Genomic DNA, 18,557 nt, shown 5'->3' on the forward strand with positions numbered 1-18,557 from the left:
CCTTTCACGGTGCGCTCCCCGAAGATAAGGTGCCTGGTCATCTGCAACCTGGAGATTTCATCTATTGGAAAAGACATCTAATAAAGGATTCCCTTCAACCCTGATGGAAGGGCCCGTACCAGGCACTACTGACTAATCCATGTACTGCAAAATTAAAGAGTATAGATTCATGGATTCACATCTCTCATCTTAAAAAGGCACAACCTCCTGAGTGGACTGTAACTCCCACCAAAGACCTTCACCTCCGGTTCACTAAACATCAACCTGCAACCCAGGATTAGAAGCAGACAACAGCTGTTGTGGACTGCTTAAACCCAAGACACAGAACCAGGCCTGTATACAAAGGGAACGCCTCTGTTTATTGTACAGTAACCATTACAATTATTGTCCTAGATATACCGGCAACTGCTGTCTTATAAATGACAGGGCACTTGCCTTGTCTGATTTAACACCATTTAGTAACTAAAATGAATTTCGCAACCTTGCTATTATTAATCCTATATCCCTACACTTTCTTGCCACTGCCACCCACTGATGCCCATGAAACAAACCTGTTTCTACAATGGGCTCAGCATTATGCAGACAAATTACAAAGAACACCTGCTGGATATGCAGACTCATGCCTCTTTCCAGTGGCTCCAGCCTGCCATGGTGGATATCCCCCTTCCAAGGTCAGGACTGGATAGAATACCAAAAATTTATCACATCACAGAAATGGTCTGGTATTCTTAGTGCTGGGATAACAAAAGACAATACATACAATTGGCCCATTAAAAACACTCTTAAGAACAAGGGACATGGGAAAAGATTTTGAATGGAAAGGACCAGGTCATTAGCTCTCACTTTAGCATCCCCCCAGCTAAAACAGAAGGTGGTAACCACACCCCAAACAACAGCTCATTTTCAAAATGGAATAATGCAAATTTGGGCTGGATTTATCTGGCTCACCCGTTCGTCTGGCCAACTCAGCCAAAATTCTCCTCTGTGCTGGGAGAAAGAAACCATATCAAGGACCTATGGCCAAACAGTACGAGAGATACGGGGTGGACACCTGGAGAATGCTGTGACCACATTATCATATTACAAGACGCTGACTGGAATGCCACCGATTGGGTGCAGCAATCAGGTATTTATTGGATAGCTCCAAATGGGACATATTGGCTATGTGGCACTAACTTATGGCCGTGGTTACCTCTAGGGTAGTTAGGATGATGTTCCCTAGGTTATGCTTGGGCACAAGACACGTAATCCAGACCCTGCCAAAACCAGCAAACCTTTTTCATTTACAATTTCATTGGACATGTTAGGTATTCCAATGGTATGATCACTTAGCTTTAATCTTTGTACCACAGACAGGTATTGAAGATGTTATATGGCATATAGAGGCCTTACCCAATTACATCCAAAAGGCCCTGAATGATAGCCACATGAGTATTGCCTTGCTAAGCAATGAGGTCATGCTTATGAGGAAAGTTGTGCTATACAACCATATGGCTTTAGATATACTCATTGCAGCACAAGGGGGGACCTGTGCCGTCATAAAAACTGAATGTTGTGTGTATATTCAGATGAATTGAAGAACATAACTCGATTTATGACTGATATGAAAACCCAGATAACCAACCTGTCAGATCTAAAACCCTCACTAATCAATTGGTTGAGTAGTTGGTTTGGATCCTGGGGAACTTGGTGGCAGAAGCTACTGCTTATAATAGGAATAATAATAATTTGTGTTCTGTCCTGTTTCTGCTACAATGTTGTTACGGTATGTGCTTGCAAATAAGTTAATGCACAACTGAAAGGGCTGGGGTAATAATTGCCCAGAGAATTGCTTTAATTGAGGAAGCAGTAATATAGCTTGACCCAGCTTCAAGGTTTGCTTTCCTTTTGTTGCTATAAATATGACCTAGGTCCCTATATATATATTTTTTTCTTTTTCTTTTTTCCTTTCCTTTTTCCTTTTTTCCTCTCCCTTTTTTTTTTAAATATTCGTGGGACACAATTTCCTAGGAATGAGCCTTCCTAGCGACAATGGGCGTGACTTCCTAGGAATGAGCCTTCCTGGTGATGTGGGACCTAAACTTCTAGAAATAAACTATCCTAGCAACAGGAAACCAGTTCAGAAAAGGGAGGAAAAATCAACCTGTAGCCAAGAACCCATATTCCTTTTAAAATGCTTCCTTCAAAAGATTTTAAATAAAAAAAGAGGGGAAACCTGAAAGGAAATTAAATTTTGGGACCCCCCAAACTCATTTAGCAAAAGGCAAAAGTCAAAATGGGAACTGGGTCATCCAAACCTGCCTCCCCCTTTTGGTTCCTCAATAAAATTGTTACAAGATGAAAAGCTACATGTCTCCTCCATATTTTGCCCACAGAGAAATTTCTAGTGAGTTGTTAAAATTTCACCATGGCAATGCAAATCGATAGCTTATCTTTACAGGTGCAGTCGCCCCTGGCCCACCAGACATAAATGCATATCTGAGTGTTCCCCTGCCCAATTTTGTCTATGTTATCTTATGTAAAATGCAGATTCCCCAGATTTTTCCTCTGCCCCTTTTATGTCATCTTTTATTTATTTATTTATTTATTTATTTATTTACTTATTTATTTTGAGATGGAGTTTCGCTCTTGTTGCCCAGGCTGGAGTGCAATGGCACGATCTCGGCTCACAGCAACCTCCGCCTCCTGGGTTCAAGCAATTCTCCTGCCTCAGCCTCCAGAGTAGCTGGGATTACAGGCATGCACCACCAATCCCAGCTAATTTTTGTATTTTTAGTAGAGATGGGGTTTCTCCATGTTGGTCAGGCTGGTCTCGAACTCCAGACCTCAGGTGATCCACCCGCCTCGGCCTCCCAAAGTGCTGGGATTACAGGCGTGAGCCACCACGCCTGGCCTTTTTGTTGTTATTTAGTTTTATTTCATATCATAAACTTAACTCTGCAATCCAGCTAGACATGGAAAGGAACAAGGAAAACATGGAACCCAAAGGGAACTGCAATGAGAGCACAAAGATTATAGGCTATTGCCAGCAAATGGGGTGGAGGGGTGCTCTCCTGAGCTACAGAAGGAATGGTCTGGTGGTTAAGATAAAACACAAGTCAAACTTTAATAAGTTGTCCATAGTCAGCAATGGTGATCTTCTTGCTGGTCTTGCCATTCCTGGACCCAAAGCATTCCATGGCCCCCACAATATTTATGCCTTCTTTTACCTTGCCAAAGACCACATGTTTGTCATCCACTCAGTCTTGGCAGTGCAGATGAAAAACTGGGAACTGTTTGTGTCCAGCATTTGCCATGGACAAGATGCCAGGACCTGTATGCTTTAGGATGAAGTTCTTGTCATCAAATTTCTCCCTGTAGATGGACTTGCCACCAGTGCCATTATGGCAATGTGAAGTCACCACCCTGACACATAAACCCTGGAATAAGTCTGTGAACGCAGGAACCCTTATAACCAAATCCTTTCTCTCCAGTGTGCACAGCATGAAATTTTTCTGGTGTCTTGGAAACTTGTCTGCAAACAGCTTGAAGGAGATGTGGCCCAAGAGCCCACCATCTATGGTGATGTTGAAGAACAAGGTGGGGTTGACCATGGCTGATAGTACGGGGCTCCTGGCAGCAGCAGCATCTGTGAAGTGGCCATTCTATGTTATCTTATATTTAAAAAATGCAGATTTGCTGAACCAGACAAAGGCATGAATGACTATTTTTCCCTACCCCCTCTTACATGAAAATTGTTTACTTCTCAATATCCTACCCTTTCCCCTTTAAATTTGAAGCCCTCAAAATCACCTTCGGAGAAAGGCATAGACCTGTCTCCTGGGCACGTCCTTAACTTTGGCAAATAAATCTAAAATCATTGGGACTTATTTCATCATTTTTCTCAATTGACAAAACATTTAAAAAATAATACAGACTGGACCCAGCCTGCCCAACTCCCAGTGGAGAGCAAGGTTTCCTTCTATTTTCATAGGCAACCAGAACAATGTTCTATGCACATTTTGTCCTCAGTAAGAGGGCCTCTGGCCAAAATTTGGCTAGCGGCCCATTGGGATAAGAAGCTAACCAAAGCCCCTGTGTTACAGTGTAATTTAGAGAGCAGCATGGAGAGTATCATCTCACCAAAGGTGAAGATAGCATTACGGACATCAGGACATCTCTTACTGGGAGTAGTTTGAATCTATCACAGGAAAGCCAAATATCTTCTTGCAGACTGTAATGAAGCATTCATTAAGATAAAGATGGCTTTTTGATCAGGTGTTGACCTGCCTGAGGAAAATCAGGAAGCAGCTTATAACACCATTACTTTACTTGAATAATTTCATGACTTTGATCAGCCACTGCCTGACTTAGATGACATCGATGTGGCCCAGAAGTTCAGCCTGGGTCAGAGTAGAGTGGAAGAAATAACCGTGAGAGAAGAAGTTGGGAATATCAGTATTTTACAAGAAAATGGTTTTGGCGATTTTGGAATGGATGATCATTGAGATCAGAGAAAGCAGTGCTTTTGAGGATGATGACATGTTAGTAGGCACTACTGCTTCTAATCTCCTATTAGAGTCTGAACAGAGCACCAGCAATCTGAATGAGAAAATTAACCATTTAGAATATGAAGACCAATATAAAGATAATAATTTTGGAGAAGGAAATGATGGTGGAATATTAGAAGACAAACTTATTAGTAATAATGATGGTAGTATCTTTGATGATCCCCCTGCCCTCTCTGAGGCAGAGGTAATGTTGCCAGAGCAGCCTGCACATGATGATATACGGGTGAGGATGATAATACATCAATGGGTGGGCCTGATAGTCCTGATTCAGTGAATCCTGTTGAACCAGCCAACTATGACTGATCAAACAACACTTGTTCCAAATGAGGAAGAAGCATTTGCATTGGAACCTATTGATATAACTGTTAAAGAAACAAACGCCAAGAGGAAGAGGAAGCTAATTGTTGACAGTGTCAAAAACTTGGATAGCAAGACAATTAGAGCCCAGCTTAATGATTATTCTGATATTGTTACTACTTTGGATCTGGCACCACCCACCAAGAAATAGGTGATGTGGAAAGAGACAGGAGTAGTAGAAAAACTGTTTTCTTTACCTGCTCAGCCTTTGTGGAATAACAGACTACTGACGCTCTTTACATGCTGTCTTACACCACTTGTACCAGAAGACCTTAGAAAAAGGGGGAAAGGAGGGACAGATAATTTGGATGAGTTCCTCAAAGAACTTGAAAATCCAGAGGTTCCTAGAGAGAACTAGCAACAGCTACACCAGCAGCATGATGTTATTGATAAGCCCATTTTGGAAGAGCCAAGCCATCTCCAGAAGTCAGTGATGAGGCCAGCAGAACAAATCTGGATGAGTCAGCTATGCCTCCACCACCACCTCAGGGAGTTAAGTGAAAAGCTGGACAAATTAACCCAGAGCCTGTGATGCCTCCTCAGCAGGTTGAGCAGATGGAAATACTGCCTGTAGAGCTTCCCCAAGAAGAACCTCCAAATATCTGTCAGCTAATACCAGAGTTAGAACTTCTGCCAGAAAAAGAGAATGAGAAAGAAAAGGGGAAAAAAAGATGATGAAGGGGAAAAGGATGAAGATGTTTCAGGGGGTGATCAAGATCAGGAAGAAAGAAGATGGAAGAAAAGGACTCAGCAGATGCTTCACGGTCTTCAGTGAGCTCTTGCTAAAACTGGAGCTGAATCTATCAGTTTGCTTGAGTTATATCAAAACACAAACAGAAAACAAACTGTTGCAAAGTTCTACAGCTTCTTGGTTCTTAAAAAGCAGCAAGCTATTGAGCTGACACAGGAAGAACTGTACAGTAACATCATCGCAACACCCGGGCCAAAGTTCCATATTTTATGAGGAGCTAGAAGCATTATAGCTAGTGTTCATTTCACTAGTGCTTACAAATTGCCCCCATGTGTAGGAGACACAGAACCCTTTGAGAAAACTTAGATTTTTGTCTGTACAAAGTCTTTGCCTTTTTCTTTCTCATTTTTTCCCAGTATATTAAATTTGTCAGTTTCATCTTTGAGGGAAACTGATTAGATGGATGTGTTTGTGTTCTGATGGAGAAAACAGCACCCTAAGGACTCAGAAGATTAACAGTTCAGAACAGATGTGTGCAATATTGGTGCATGCAATGATGTTGAGTGGCAGTTGAAAGTCATGATTTTTATCTTAGTTCTTCATTACTGCATTGAAAAGGAAAACCTGTCTGGGAAAATGCCTGACAGTTTAATTTAAAACTATGGTATGAGTCTTTGAAAAGAAAAAAAAAAAGCCTTTCCATCAGTAGTAACACTGGCAATCTTCTTGTTAACCACTCTCCTTAGGGATGGTACCTGAAATAACAAAGGTCACCCTCTTGAGATTCGTTTTAAGTGTAATTCCCTAATGAGCAAACGTGTACGTGAAATTGTGTTGTGACTGATACCCTTCAGCTACAGATAGGACTGACTTGGTTTAAAGTGTTCTATTTTGTAAATCATTCCATTTGAGTCTTTCTGATGAACTTCGCTATCTCGAAATCTGTCATTTTAGTGAGGCTCCAAAATGAGCAGAAATAGGCCTGATTAGAGTAGAGTGACTATCAAATAGCAGACTTTCTAGGACCTATAAATAGAAGTTTTAAAAAGATGTTTGGATATATTTGACTATTCAGATCATGAAAACAGAAATTACCCTGCCTACTACAAGGACAGACTGATGGGAAATTATACACCAGGTCAACTTAACCTTTAAGCAGACAATGCTGTAAAAACTAATGGCTTCTCTGATATTTATTGTAAGTTTTAGTACTGATCTCCTTTTCCAGTGCTGCACACTCCTGTGTTTGGAACTTTAATAGCTTTGCAACGAAATCCTATATCCGGTTTCCTATAATTTAACTGAAGAAAAACACATCCAAATAAAGGTCTATATTAACAGACCAGATAGCATCAGAAATCATGTGACTATTATGATTATCAGAATATGTCTTAACTTTTTAGGGCAAAATTAACACTGAAAGTTCTAGCTTAAGTGTTGACACTTTCGTGGGGAAAAAAATCACTTTTGAAACAGACTTCAGTGTATACTCAATAATTTAAAATTATGTGAAATGTTTTAAATTTGTGAACTCATTACTGTTTTAATGATTCCGTTTCTTGAGAGTTTAACCATAAAAAATTGCTATTGCAGATTTATTTTCAATATGCTGTGCCTGTAAACCATGGAGTTTTCCCTGTTTGTAAAAAGACATTGTAGATAATTGAATGTTTGATTTTAGAAAGGTCATTGGTTTCTTGTTACACATTTTGTTAGTCTGTTTTTTTTGCTTATTGGGTTTAATATTGTTCTTGAAAATAGTTGATGCTATGTTATGTATAACTCTTCTAATAAAAGTTGTGTTATAAGTTGAAACAAATTATAGTATTACAGACTGGCTACAATAACTTTATAGGAAGTCTGAAAAATACTCAAAGTTCTATAGCAACCAAGCAAACACCTAGTCAAGAAAACGATACAGTCAAAATGGTTAGAAATTTTGTGACATTTTTACTTGCCTGTACCCCATCCTTCCCTCCTGGCACACCTGGGGAAGCAGCAGCCCTGCTCCCAATTCCCTCCCTGGAACCCCAGAGAGAGGAAAGTGGACTTTATTTGCAACATTCTAACCTGTCAAGGGGCTGCCTGAGGTACTGGTCTCTGTTTTACCTAATTCGGAGGTCAGACAGGGAAAAGCAACATGGCTGGATACTCAGGCTCAGGAAAAGCCACAGGAAATGATGGGCACTACTCATGAACACTGCAGGGGGCCTACAAACTCACAGATACCTGGAGCAAGAGATCAGAAGTAGAAGAATACAATAGAACATCTAAGCCCACCTTCTGAGAAGCAGAGGTGAGACTCTTTAGGAAATTGAGACATTTTAAGCAGTCATGCATTCAAGGGAACTGGAAAACAACAACAACAACAACAACAACAGATACCCAGGCCAAGGCAAAATGCATAGCCAAAAGAGGTCTAAGAAGACCTTAAGACCTCACATGGGGCTGATCCCAAAGCTGACAGCATGCCCTGCTAATTAGTGAAGGTCTTCCCTGGCACAGAACCTACTTGTAATGACTAGCAGAGGTGGCTGTTTTTTTGAATGATCAATTTTAAAAATGAACAAAAAAATAACAAACCATGCAAAGAAACAGGAAAATATGGCCCATTCAAAGGAAGATAATAAACTGTCAGAAACTGTCCCTGAAGAAACACAAGCATCAGAAGTACTAGACAAAGACAAAATGTCTTAAATATGCTCAAAGAGCTAAATGAAAACTCAAAGAACTAAAGGAAATGAGAAAAATGACACATAAACAAAAGAGAATATTAACAAAGAGAAACTATAAAAAGGAACCAAACAGAAATTCTGGAGCTGAAAATACAGTATCTGAATTGAAAAACGCCTAGAGGGATTCAACAGTAGATTCAAACAGGAAGAAAAAAGAATCAGTGAACTTGAAGATAAGTCCTTTGAAATTATTGAATCTGAAGACCAAATAATAATAATAATAATTAAGAAAAGTGGACAGAGACTAAGAGACCTATGGGATACCATCAAGCTAACCAATATATGCATTACAGAAATCTCAGATGGTGACGGGATAAAGAAAGGAGCAGAGGAACTATTTGAAAAAATAATGGCTGAAAACTTCCCAAATTTGAGGAAAGGCATTGATTCACAAATCCAAAAATCTTGCTGATCTCCAGGTAGGATAAACCCAAAGCAGTACATACCAAGACACATTATATTCTAACAAAAGCCAAAGACATGGAACACTGCAGGGGGACTACAGACTCACAGAAACCGGGGGCAAGAGATCAGAGGTAAAGGAATACAATACAAAGTCTAAGGCCCCCTCAAGAATCTTGAAAGAAGCAAGAGAAAAGTAACTCATCATGCACAATGGATCTTCAATAACATTATCAGTGGATTTCTCAGCAAAAACCTTGAAGGACACAAGGAATTGAATACCATATTTAAAGGAAATTTTTTAATTGTTATTTTTCCATAAGTTATTGGAGTTCAGGTGGTATTTGGTTACGAGTAAGTTATTTAATGGTGATTTGTGAGATTTTGGTGACCTGTCACCGAAGCAGTATACACTGCACTGTATTTGTAGTCTTTCATCCCTCACCCACCTCCCACTCTTCCCTCCAAGTCCCCAAAGTCCATTGTATCATTCTTATGCTTTTGTGTCCTCATAGCTTAGCTCCCGCATATCAGTGAGAACACGTGATGCTTGGTTTTCCATTCCTGAGTTACTTCACTTAGAATAATAGTCTCCAATCTCATCCAGGTCACTGCAAATGCTGCTAATTCATTCCTTTTTATGGCTGCACAGTATTCCATCATATATATATACCACAGTTTCTTTATCCACTTGTTGATTGCTGGGCATTTGGGTTGGTTCCATGATTTTGCAATTGTGAATTGTGCCGCTATAAACATACATATGCAAGTTATCTTTTTTGAATAATGACTTCTTTTCCTCTGGGTAGACACCCAGTAGTGGGATTGCTGGATCAAATGGTAGTTCACTTTTAGTTCTTTAAGGAATCTCCACACTATTTTCCATAGTGGCTGTAGTAGTTTACTTTCCACCAGCAGTGTGGAAGTGTTCCCTGTTTACCACATCCACACCAACGTCTACTGTTTTTTTTATTATGGCCATTCTTGCAGGAGTAAGGAGGTATTGCATTGTGGTTTTGATTTGCATTTCCCTGATCATTAGTGATGTTGAGCATTTTTTCGCCATTTGTGTATCTTTTGAGAATTGTCTATTCATCTCCTTAGTCCACTTTTTGATGGGATTGTGGGTTTTTCTTTCTTATTGATTTGTTTGAGTTCGTTGTAGATTCTGGATATTAGTCCTTTGTCAGATGTATAGATTCTGAAGCTTTTCTCCCACTCTGTGGGTTGTCTGTTTACTCTGCTGACTGTTCCTTTTCTGTGCAAAAGCTCTTTAGTTTAATTAGATCCCAGCTATTTATCTTTTTATTGCATTTGCTTTTGGGTTCTTGGTCATGAAATCCTTGCTGAAGCCAATGTCTAGAAGGGTTTTTCCAATGTTATCTTCTAGAATTTTTATAGTTTCAGGTCTTAGGTTTAAGTCCTTAATCCATCTTGAGTTGATTTTTGTATAAGGTGAGAGATGAGGATCCATTGTCATTCTCCTACATGTGGCTAGCCAATTACCCCAGCACCATTTGTTGAAAAAGGTGCCCTTTTCCCACTTTGTTTTTGTTTGCTTTGTTGAAGATCAGTTGGCTCTAAGTATTTGGGTTTATTTCTGGGTTCTCTATTCTGTTCCATTGGTCTACGTGCCTATTTTTATACCAGTACCACATTGTTTTGGTGACTATGGCCTTATAGTATAGTTTGAAATCAGCTAGTGTGATGCCTCCACATTTGTCCTTTTTGCTTAGTCTTCCTTTGGCTATGCGGGCTCTTTTTTGGTTCCATATGATTTTGGGAATTGTTTTTTCTAATTCTGTGAAGAATGATGGTGGTATTCTGATAGAGATTGCATTGAATTTGTAGATGGCTTTTGGCAGTATGGTCATTTTCACAATATTAATTCTACCCATCCATGAGCATGGGAGATGTTTCCATTTGTTTGTGTCATATATGATTTCTTACAGCAGTGTTTGTAGTTTTCCTTGTAAAGGTCTTTTAACTCATTGGTTAGGTATATTCTTAAGTGTTTTTTTTTTTTTTTTGCAACTATTGCAAAAGGGGTTGAGTTCTTGATTTGATTCTCTGCTTGGTTGCTGTTGGTGTATAGAAGAGCTACTTATTTGTGTACATTAATCTTGTATGCAGAAATTTTGCTGAATTCTTTTATCAGTTCTAGGAGCTTTCTGGAGGAGTCTTTAGGGGTTTCAAGGTAAATGACTGCTATATATAAAGTTTCAGTGGCACAAAAGAAATAGCACTCAAATATAAAATTTTCTTTTTAATTCTCAGCAAGGCTAGTTACTTCTCTATAGAAGGGTGTGCCCTTACAGATGGAACAATGGTGAGCGCACACTTGGACGAGGGGAAGGGATTCTTATCCCTGACACACATGGCCCCTGCTGCTGTTGTTCCCCTATTGGCTAGGGTCAGACCGAACAGACTAAACTAATTCCGACCAGCTAATTTAAAGAGAATGACGGGGTGAGTGCTTTGGAGGGAGTCAGGGCAGAGCAGGTAGCAGGTAAATGGAATGAGTTAGGGTGGAGCAGGTGATTGGAATGTAGGGTGGAGCAGGTGATCAGAATGAGTCAGGGTGGAGTAGGTAACCGAAAAAGGTTGCTTTACGAGGAAGTTAAGTTTAAAAGTAGAAGGCAAAGAATTGAACATACTGACATATTAATTCTTCGAAAAGAAATTTAGAACTCATATCTAACATGATCATATCATCAGCAAACAGTGACAGTTTGACTTCCTCTTTACCAATTGGATGCCCTTTATTTCTTTCTCTTGTCTGACTGCTTTGGCTAGGACTTCCAGTACTATGTTGAAGAGGAGTGGTGAGAGTGGGCATGCTTGTCTTGTTCCAGTTCTCAGAGGGAATGGTTTCAACTTTTCCTCAATCAGTATTATGTTGGCTGTGGGTTTGTCATAGATGGATTTTATTACATTAAGGTATGTCCCTTGTATGCCGATTTTACTCAGAGTTTTAATCATATAGGAATGCTGGGTTTCGTCAAATGCTTTTTCTGCATGTATTGTGATGATCATGTGATTTTTGTTTTTAATTCTGTTTATGTGGTGTATAACATTTATTGACTTGTGTAGGTAAAACCATCCCTGCGTCCCTGGTACAAAACTTACTTGATCATGGTGGATTATCTTTTTGATATGTTGTTAGAACTGGTTAGCTAGTATTTTGTTGAGGATTTTAGCATCTGTGTTCATCAAAAATATTGGTCTGTAATTGTCTTTTTTGGTTATGTTCTTTGCTGGTTTTGGTATTAGGATGATGCTGGCTTCATAGAATGAATTAGGGAGGGTTCCTTCTTTCTCTGTCTTGTAAAATAGTGTCAAAAGGATTGATACCAATTCTTTGAATGTCTGCTAGAAGTCTGCTGTGAATCCGTCTGGTCCTGGACTTTTTTTTGTTGGTAATTTTCTTAATTACCATTTCAATCTCACTGCTTGTTGTTGGTCTGTTCAGGGTATCTTATCCTTCCTGATTTAAACTAGGAGGGTTGTATTTTTCCACGAATTTATCCATCTCTTCTGGGTTTTCTAGTTTATGTGCATAAAGGTATTCATAGCAGCCTTGAATGATCTTCTGTTTCTGTGGTGTCAGTTGTAATATCTCCCATTTCATTTCTTTCCTTTTTTTTTTTTTTGAGATGGAGTCTCACTCTGTCCCCCAGGCTGGAGTGCAGTGGTGCCATCTCAGCTCACTGCAACCTCCACTCCTGGGTTCACGCCATTCTCCTGCCTCAGCCTCCCGAGTAGCTGGGACTACGGGCACCCACCACCACGCCCAGCTAATTTTTTTTCTGTTTTTAGTAGAGACAGGGTTTCACTGTGTTAGCCAGGATGGTCTCGATCTCCTGACCCCATGATCCGCCCACCTCAGCCTCCCAAAGTGCTGGGATTACAGGTGTGAGCCACCGCACCCGGCCCTCTCCCGTCTCATTTCTTACTGAGCTTATTTGGATTTTCTCTCTTCTTTACTTGGTTAATCTTGCTAATGGTCTATCAATTTTATTTGTCTTTCAAAGAACCAGCTTTTCATTTCATTTACCTTCTGTATTTTTGTTCATTTCAATTTCACTTAGTTCTGCTCTGATCTTGGTGATTTCCTTTCTTCTGCTGGGTTTGGGTTTGGTTTGTTCTTGTTTCTCTAGTTCCTTGAGGTGTGACCTTAGATTGTCTGTTTGTGCTCTTTCAGACTTTTTGATGTAGGCGTTTAGGGCTATGAACTTTCCTCTTAGCACTGCCTTTGCTGAATCCCAGAGGTTTTGATAGTTGTGGCATTATTGTCATTCAGTTTGAAGAGTTTTTAAATTTCCATCTTGATTTCATTTTTGACCCAATGCTCATTCTGGACCAGGTTATTTAACTTCCATGTATTTGCATGGTTTTGAAGGTTCCCTTTGAAGTTGATTTCCAGTTTTATTCCACTGTGGTCTGAGAGAGTGTTTGATATAATTTCAATTTTCTTAAATGTATTGAAGCTCATTTTATGGCCTATCATATAGTCTATCTTGGAGAAAGTTCCATGTATTGTTGAATAGAATGTTTTATTCTGCAGTTGTTGGATGAAATGTTCTGTATATATCTGTTAAGTCCAATTGTTCCAACGTATAGTTTAAATCCATTGTTTCTTTGTTGACTTTCTGCCTTGATGAACTGTCTATGGCTGTCAGTGGAGTAATGAAGTCCTCCATGATTATTGTGTTGCTATCTATCTCATTTCTTAGGTGTATTAGTAACTGTTTTATTAATTTTGGAGTTCCAGTGTTAGGTGCCTATATGTTTAGGATTGTGATATTTTCCTGTTGGAAAGGCCTTTTACCATTATATACTGTCCCTCTTTGTCTTTTGTAACTGCTATTGCTTCAAAGTTTGTTTTGTCTAAGAATAGCTACCCCTGCTCGTTTTTGGTGTCCATTTGCATGAAATGCCTTTTTCCACCCCTTTATTTTAAGTTTATGTGAGTCCTTATGTGTTAGGTGAGTCTCCTGAAGGCAGCAGATAGTTGGTTGGTGAGTTCTTATTCATTCTGCAGTTCTGTATCTTTTAAGCGGAGCATTTAGACCATTTATATTCAATGTTAATATTGAAATGTGAGGTACTGTTGCTTTCATCATGCTCTTTGTTGCTTGTGTACTTTGGTTTTTGTTGTTTTTGCTTTTTAACTTATATTTTTGTTTCATAGGTCCTCTATGATTTATGCTTTAAAGAAGTTCTGTTTTTATGTGTTTCCAGGATTTGTTTCAAGATTTAGAGATCCTTTTAGCAGTTCTTGTAATGGTGGTTTCCTAATGGCAAATTCTCTCAGCATTTGTTTGTCTGAAAATGACTGTATCTTTCCTTCATATATGATACTTAGTTTCTCTGGATACAAAATTCTTGGCTGATAATTATTTTGTTTGAGGAGGCTGAAGATAGGTCCCCGGTCCCTTCTTGCTTGTAGGGTTTCTGTTGAGAAATCTGCTGCTAATCTGATAGGCTTTCCTTTATAGGTAACCTGGTGCTTCTGTCTCACAGCTCTTAAGATTCTTTCCTTGGTCTTAAGTTTGGATAACCTGATGACAAAGTGCCTAGGTGAATATCTTTTTGCGATGAATTTCCCAGGTGTTCTTTGTGCTTCTTGTATTTGGACATCTAGGTCTCTCGCAAGGCCAGGAAAGGTTTCCTCGATTATTCCCTTAAACATGTTTTCCAGGCTTTTAGAATTCTCTTCTTTCTCAGGTACACTGATTATTCTTAAGTTTGGTCATTTAACATAATTCCAGATTTCTTGGAGGCTTTGTTCATATTTCCTTATTCTTTTTTCTTTGTCTTTGCTGGATGGGGTAATTCATAGACCTTAAAGCTCTGAATTTCTTTATTCTACTTGTTCAGTTCTATTGCTGAGACTTTCCAGAGAATTTCACATTTCTGAAAGTGTGTCCAAAGTTTCCTGAGTTTTTGACTGTGGTTTCTTTAAGCTATCTATTTCCATGAATATTTCTCCCTTCACTTCTTGTATCATTTTTTGAACTTCCTTGTATTGGGCTTCGCCTTTCTCTGGTCCCTCCCTGATTAGCTTAATAACTAACCTCCTGAATTCTTTTTCAGGTAAACCAGGTATTTCTTCTTGGTTTGGATCCATTGCTGGTGAAGTACTGTAATTTTTGGGGGGTGTGGAAGAGCCTTGTATTGTCATATTACTGGGTATCTCAGCCGTGGATACCAGCACCTGTTCCAATGGAGGTGGCGGAGGGTGCAATGGACTCCGTGAGGGTCTTTAGTTTTGGTGATTTAATGCTCTATTTTTGTGCTGGTTGGTCTCCTGCCAGGAAGTGGTGCTTTCCAGAAAGCATCAGCTGTAGTAGCGTGGAGAGGGACTGGTGGTGTGCAGGGCCCTAGAACTCCCAAGATTATATGCCCTTTGTTTTCCACTACGAGGGTGGATAAGGAAGGACCATCAGATGGGGGAAGGGCTAGGCGTGTCTGAACTCAGACTCTCCTTGGGTGGGTCTTGCTAAGGCTGCTGTGGAGGATGGGGGTGAGATTCCCAGGTCACTGGAGTTGTGCACCTAGGAGGATTATGGCTGTCTCTGCTGAGTCATGCAGGTTGTCAGGGAAGTGGGGGAAAGCCGGCAGTCACAGGCCTCACCCAGCTCCCACACAAACTGAAGGGCAGGTCTCATTCCCACCGTGCCCTGACCAACAGCCCCAAGTCTGTTTCCATGCGGAGAGTGAGAAGGGCTTGAAAACTTGCTCAAGGCTATCTGCCTCCCAGCTGTGAGAGAAAAGGGCTTTAATTCTTCTCCCTGCCTGTGAAGTATGCATGCCCAATTCACGCCCTCCGCTGAGTTCTGGCCAGGAGGCTTCTCGCCACATTCAAATTGTTACAAAGTTCAGCTAGAGAATTCCTTCTCCCTGTGGAGTTTCACCCCCTGCTCCTCTGGCCGATGGATCCCTGTGGTGCCAGGCAGGAATGGGCTGCTTGGGTCCCAGCAAGTTCCTGGGTCCTCTACCTCTGTATTTCACTCGGCTCTCTAACTTGACTCAGCTCCAGGTAAAGCTGGAAACTTCACCTGCAAACAGACCTTCAGCCTCTCCAGTGGGGGTGTGTCTTCAGGAGAGGAGGGTCTACCTTTCCCACTTCCGCAGTTGGGAAACTCACAGGAATTTTTTTTTTTTAATGTCAACAGATAATTCTACATCTTGGAAAACTGCCCTTCAGAAATGAGGGACAAATTAAGACATTCCAAGATAAATAATAGTCAACATTGCATGGGAATTTTTGGCCAGAACAATTAGGCAAGACAGAAACAAAAGGCATCCAAATTGGAAAGGAAGAAGTAATATTATCTCTGTTTGCAGAGGATATGATCTTACAGGTAGAACACTGTAAATATTTCCCCAAAATCACTGTTAGAACTAGTAAATGAATTCAGCAAAAATGCAGAATACAAAATCAACACACAAAAATGAGTTATGTATCTATATTGGCATTAAACAATCTGAAGAGGAAATTAAGAAAACAATTCCATTTACAGTAGCATTGAAAATAATAATATTCTTAGAAATAAACTTAACCAAAGAGGTGAAAGACTTGTACACAGAAAACTACAAAATGTTGCTGAAAGAAGCTAAAGAAGACACAAATAGATGGAAATACATCCCATATTAATGAGTTGGAAGACTTAAAATTGTTAAGATGTCAATACTACCCAAAGTGATCTACAAATTCAATGCAATCCCTATTATTAAATAAAATCCTAATTATGTTTTTGCAGAAATAGAAAAATCAACCCTAAAATTCATATGGAAATTCAAGGAATCGCAAAGAACCAAAACAATTTCGAAAAAAAAAAATTTTTTTTAACTTGGTGGTCTCTCACTTCCTGATTTCAAAACTACAAGCTACAGTAATCAAAACCATGTGGCATAAAGACAGACATACAGACTAATGGAATAATAAAGAGCCCAGAAATAAACCCTTGCATATATGGTCAAATAATTCTCAACAAGGGTGCCAAGACCATCCAATGGGGAAAAGAAAGTCTTTTCAACAAATGGTGCTGGGAAAACTGTATGTCCACATAGAAAAAAATGAAGTTGGACCCTTACCTTGCACCATGCAAAAATTAATTCAAATTCAAATTAGATTAAAGACCTAAATGTAAGAGCTAAAACTATAAAACTCTTAGAAGAAAACATAGGGGGAAATTTTCGTAACAAGATTTAGCAAAGATTTCTTGTATCTGATACCAAAAGTACAGGCAACAATTTAAAATTATATGAGTTGGACTCCATCAAAATTAAAAACTTTTGTATATCAAAGGACACTATCAGCAGAGTGAAAAGGCAACCCACAGAATAGGAGAAAATATTTGCATATCATATATGTGATAAGGGACTAATATCCAGAATATATAAAGAACTCCTATGACTCAACAACAAAAAAAACAAACAACCTGATTTAAAAATGGGCAAAGAACCTGAACTTCAAAGAAGTTATACAAATGACCAGTAAACATATGAAAAGATGTTCAACATCACTAACCACTAGAGAAATACAAATCAAAACCATAATGAAATACCATTTCACACCCCCTAGGATGGCTATTATAAAAAACAGAAAATAACAAATGTTGGCAAGGATATGGAGAAATTGGAACTCTTGTGCATTGCTGTAGGAATGTAAAATGGTGCAACCACTGTCAAAAAGAGTATGACAGTTTCTCAACAGATCAAACATAAAATTACCATGTATATTAGTCAAGGTTCTCCACAGAGACAAAACCAATAGGCTATATATAGAGAGAAAGATACAAGAGGGGATTTATTAGGGGAATTGGCTCATGTGATTATGGAGGCTGATAAGTCCCACAACAGGCTTTCTGCAAATTGGAGACCTTAGAATGCCAGTAGCATGGCCCCATTCAAGTCTGAAGGCATGAGAACCCAGGGGGCTGCTAGAGTCCAAAGGATAAAGAGCCTGGAGTGCTGATGTCTAAGGGCAGGAGAAGAGTGTATCCCACCTGCAAGAGCGAGAAAAATCTCTCTGCTATTTTTGTTCTATCCTGGCTCCAGCTGATTAGATGGTGCCTGCCCACATTGAGGGCAAATCTTCCCCACTTAGTCCACTCACACTCACATGCCAATATCCTCTGTAAACACACTCACAGAAACACCAAAAAATAATGCTTCACCTGTTCTCTAGTTATTCCTTAATCCAGACAAGTTGACACCTAAAACTAATCATCACACCATGGGACCTAGCAATTCCACTTCTGGGCACAAAAGAACTGAAAGCCGGGACTCAAAGAGATACTTGTATACCCATGTTCATAGCAGTATGATTCACAATGGCCAAAAGGTGAAAGCAACCCAAGTGTCCATTAACAGATGAATAAACAAAATGTGTATTTATATATAATATATATACAATAAAATATTCAGTCTTAAAAACTAAAGAAATTCTGACACATGGATAACATAGATGAACCTTAAAGACATTATGCTAAGTGAAATAAGTCAACCACAGAGGGACAAATATTGTATGATTCTACTTACATGATGTACCTAGAGTAGTCAAATTCATAGAGACAGAAAGTAGAACAGTGGTTGTTAGGGGCTACGAGGAGGGGATGGGCAGTTAGCATTTAATGGGTATGAAGTTTCATTTTGGGAAAATAAAAAAATTCTGGAGATGAATGGTGGAGACTGGCGCACAACAATATGAATGTACTTAATGACCCTGAACTGTACACTTAAAAATGGCTAAAATGGTAAATTTTAAGTTATTTATATTTTACTACAAAAAAAAGGTAACATACTAAAATG

At 39.4% G+C, this 18,557-nt stretch overlaps 2 pseudogenes, besides 3 other annotated features; one reads left to right on the plus strand and one right to left on the minus strand.

Moving 5' to 3' along the window:
• PPIAP89 (peptidylprolyl isomerase A pseudogene 89) lies at window positions 2,901–3,631 on the minus strand (annotated as a pseudogene).
• Window positions 3,921–6,068, plus strand: RAD21P1 (RAD21 pseudogene 1; annotated as a pseudogene).
• Window positions 7,505–8,102: an enhancer, noted in NCBI's record as "OCT4-NANOG hESC enhancer chrX:100059685-100060282 (GRCh37/hg19 assembly coordinates)". NCBI's record gives its function as "activates a minimal SCP1, AML or CMV promoter by ChIP-STARR-seq in naive H9 embryonic stem cells {active_cell/tissue: H9 hESC(naive)}" and the evidence as "EXISTENCE:reporter gene assay evidence [ECO:0000049][PMID:30033119]".
• Window positions 14,901–15,402: an enhancer, noted in NCBI's record as "NANOG-H3K27ac hESC enhancer chrX:100067081-100067582 (GRCh37/hg19 assembly coordinates)". NCBI's record gives its function as "activates a minimal SCP1, AML or CMV promoter by ChIP-STARR-seq in naive H9 embryonic stem cells {active_cell/tissue: H9 hESC(naive)}" and the evidence as "EXISTENCE:reporter gene assay evidence [ECO:0000049][PMID:30033119]".
• Window positions 15,403–15,902: an enhancer, noted in NCBI's record as "NANOG-H3K27ac hESC enhancer chrX:100067583-100068082 (GRCh37/hg19 assembly coordinates)". NCBI's record gives its function as "activates a minimal SCP1, AML or CMV promoter by ChIP-STARR-seq in naive and primed H9 embryonic stem cells {active_cell/tissue: H9 hESC(naive and primed)}" and the evidence as "EXISTENCE:reporter gene assay evidence [ECO:0000049][PMID:30033119]".

Source organism: Homo sapiens, chromosome X (assembly GCF_000001405.40).
Source record: "Homo sapiens chromosome X, GRCh38.p14 Primary Assembly".
Classification (NCBI taxonomy): domain Eukaryota; kingdom Metazoa; phylum Chordata; class Mammalia; order Primates; family Hominidae; genus Homo; species Homo sapiens.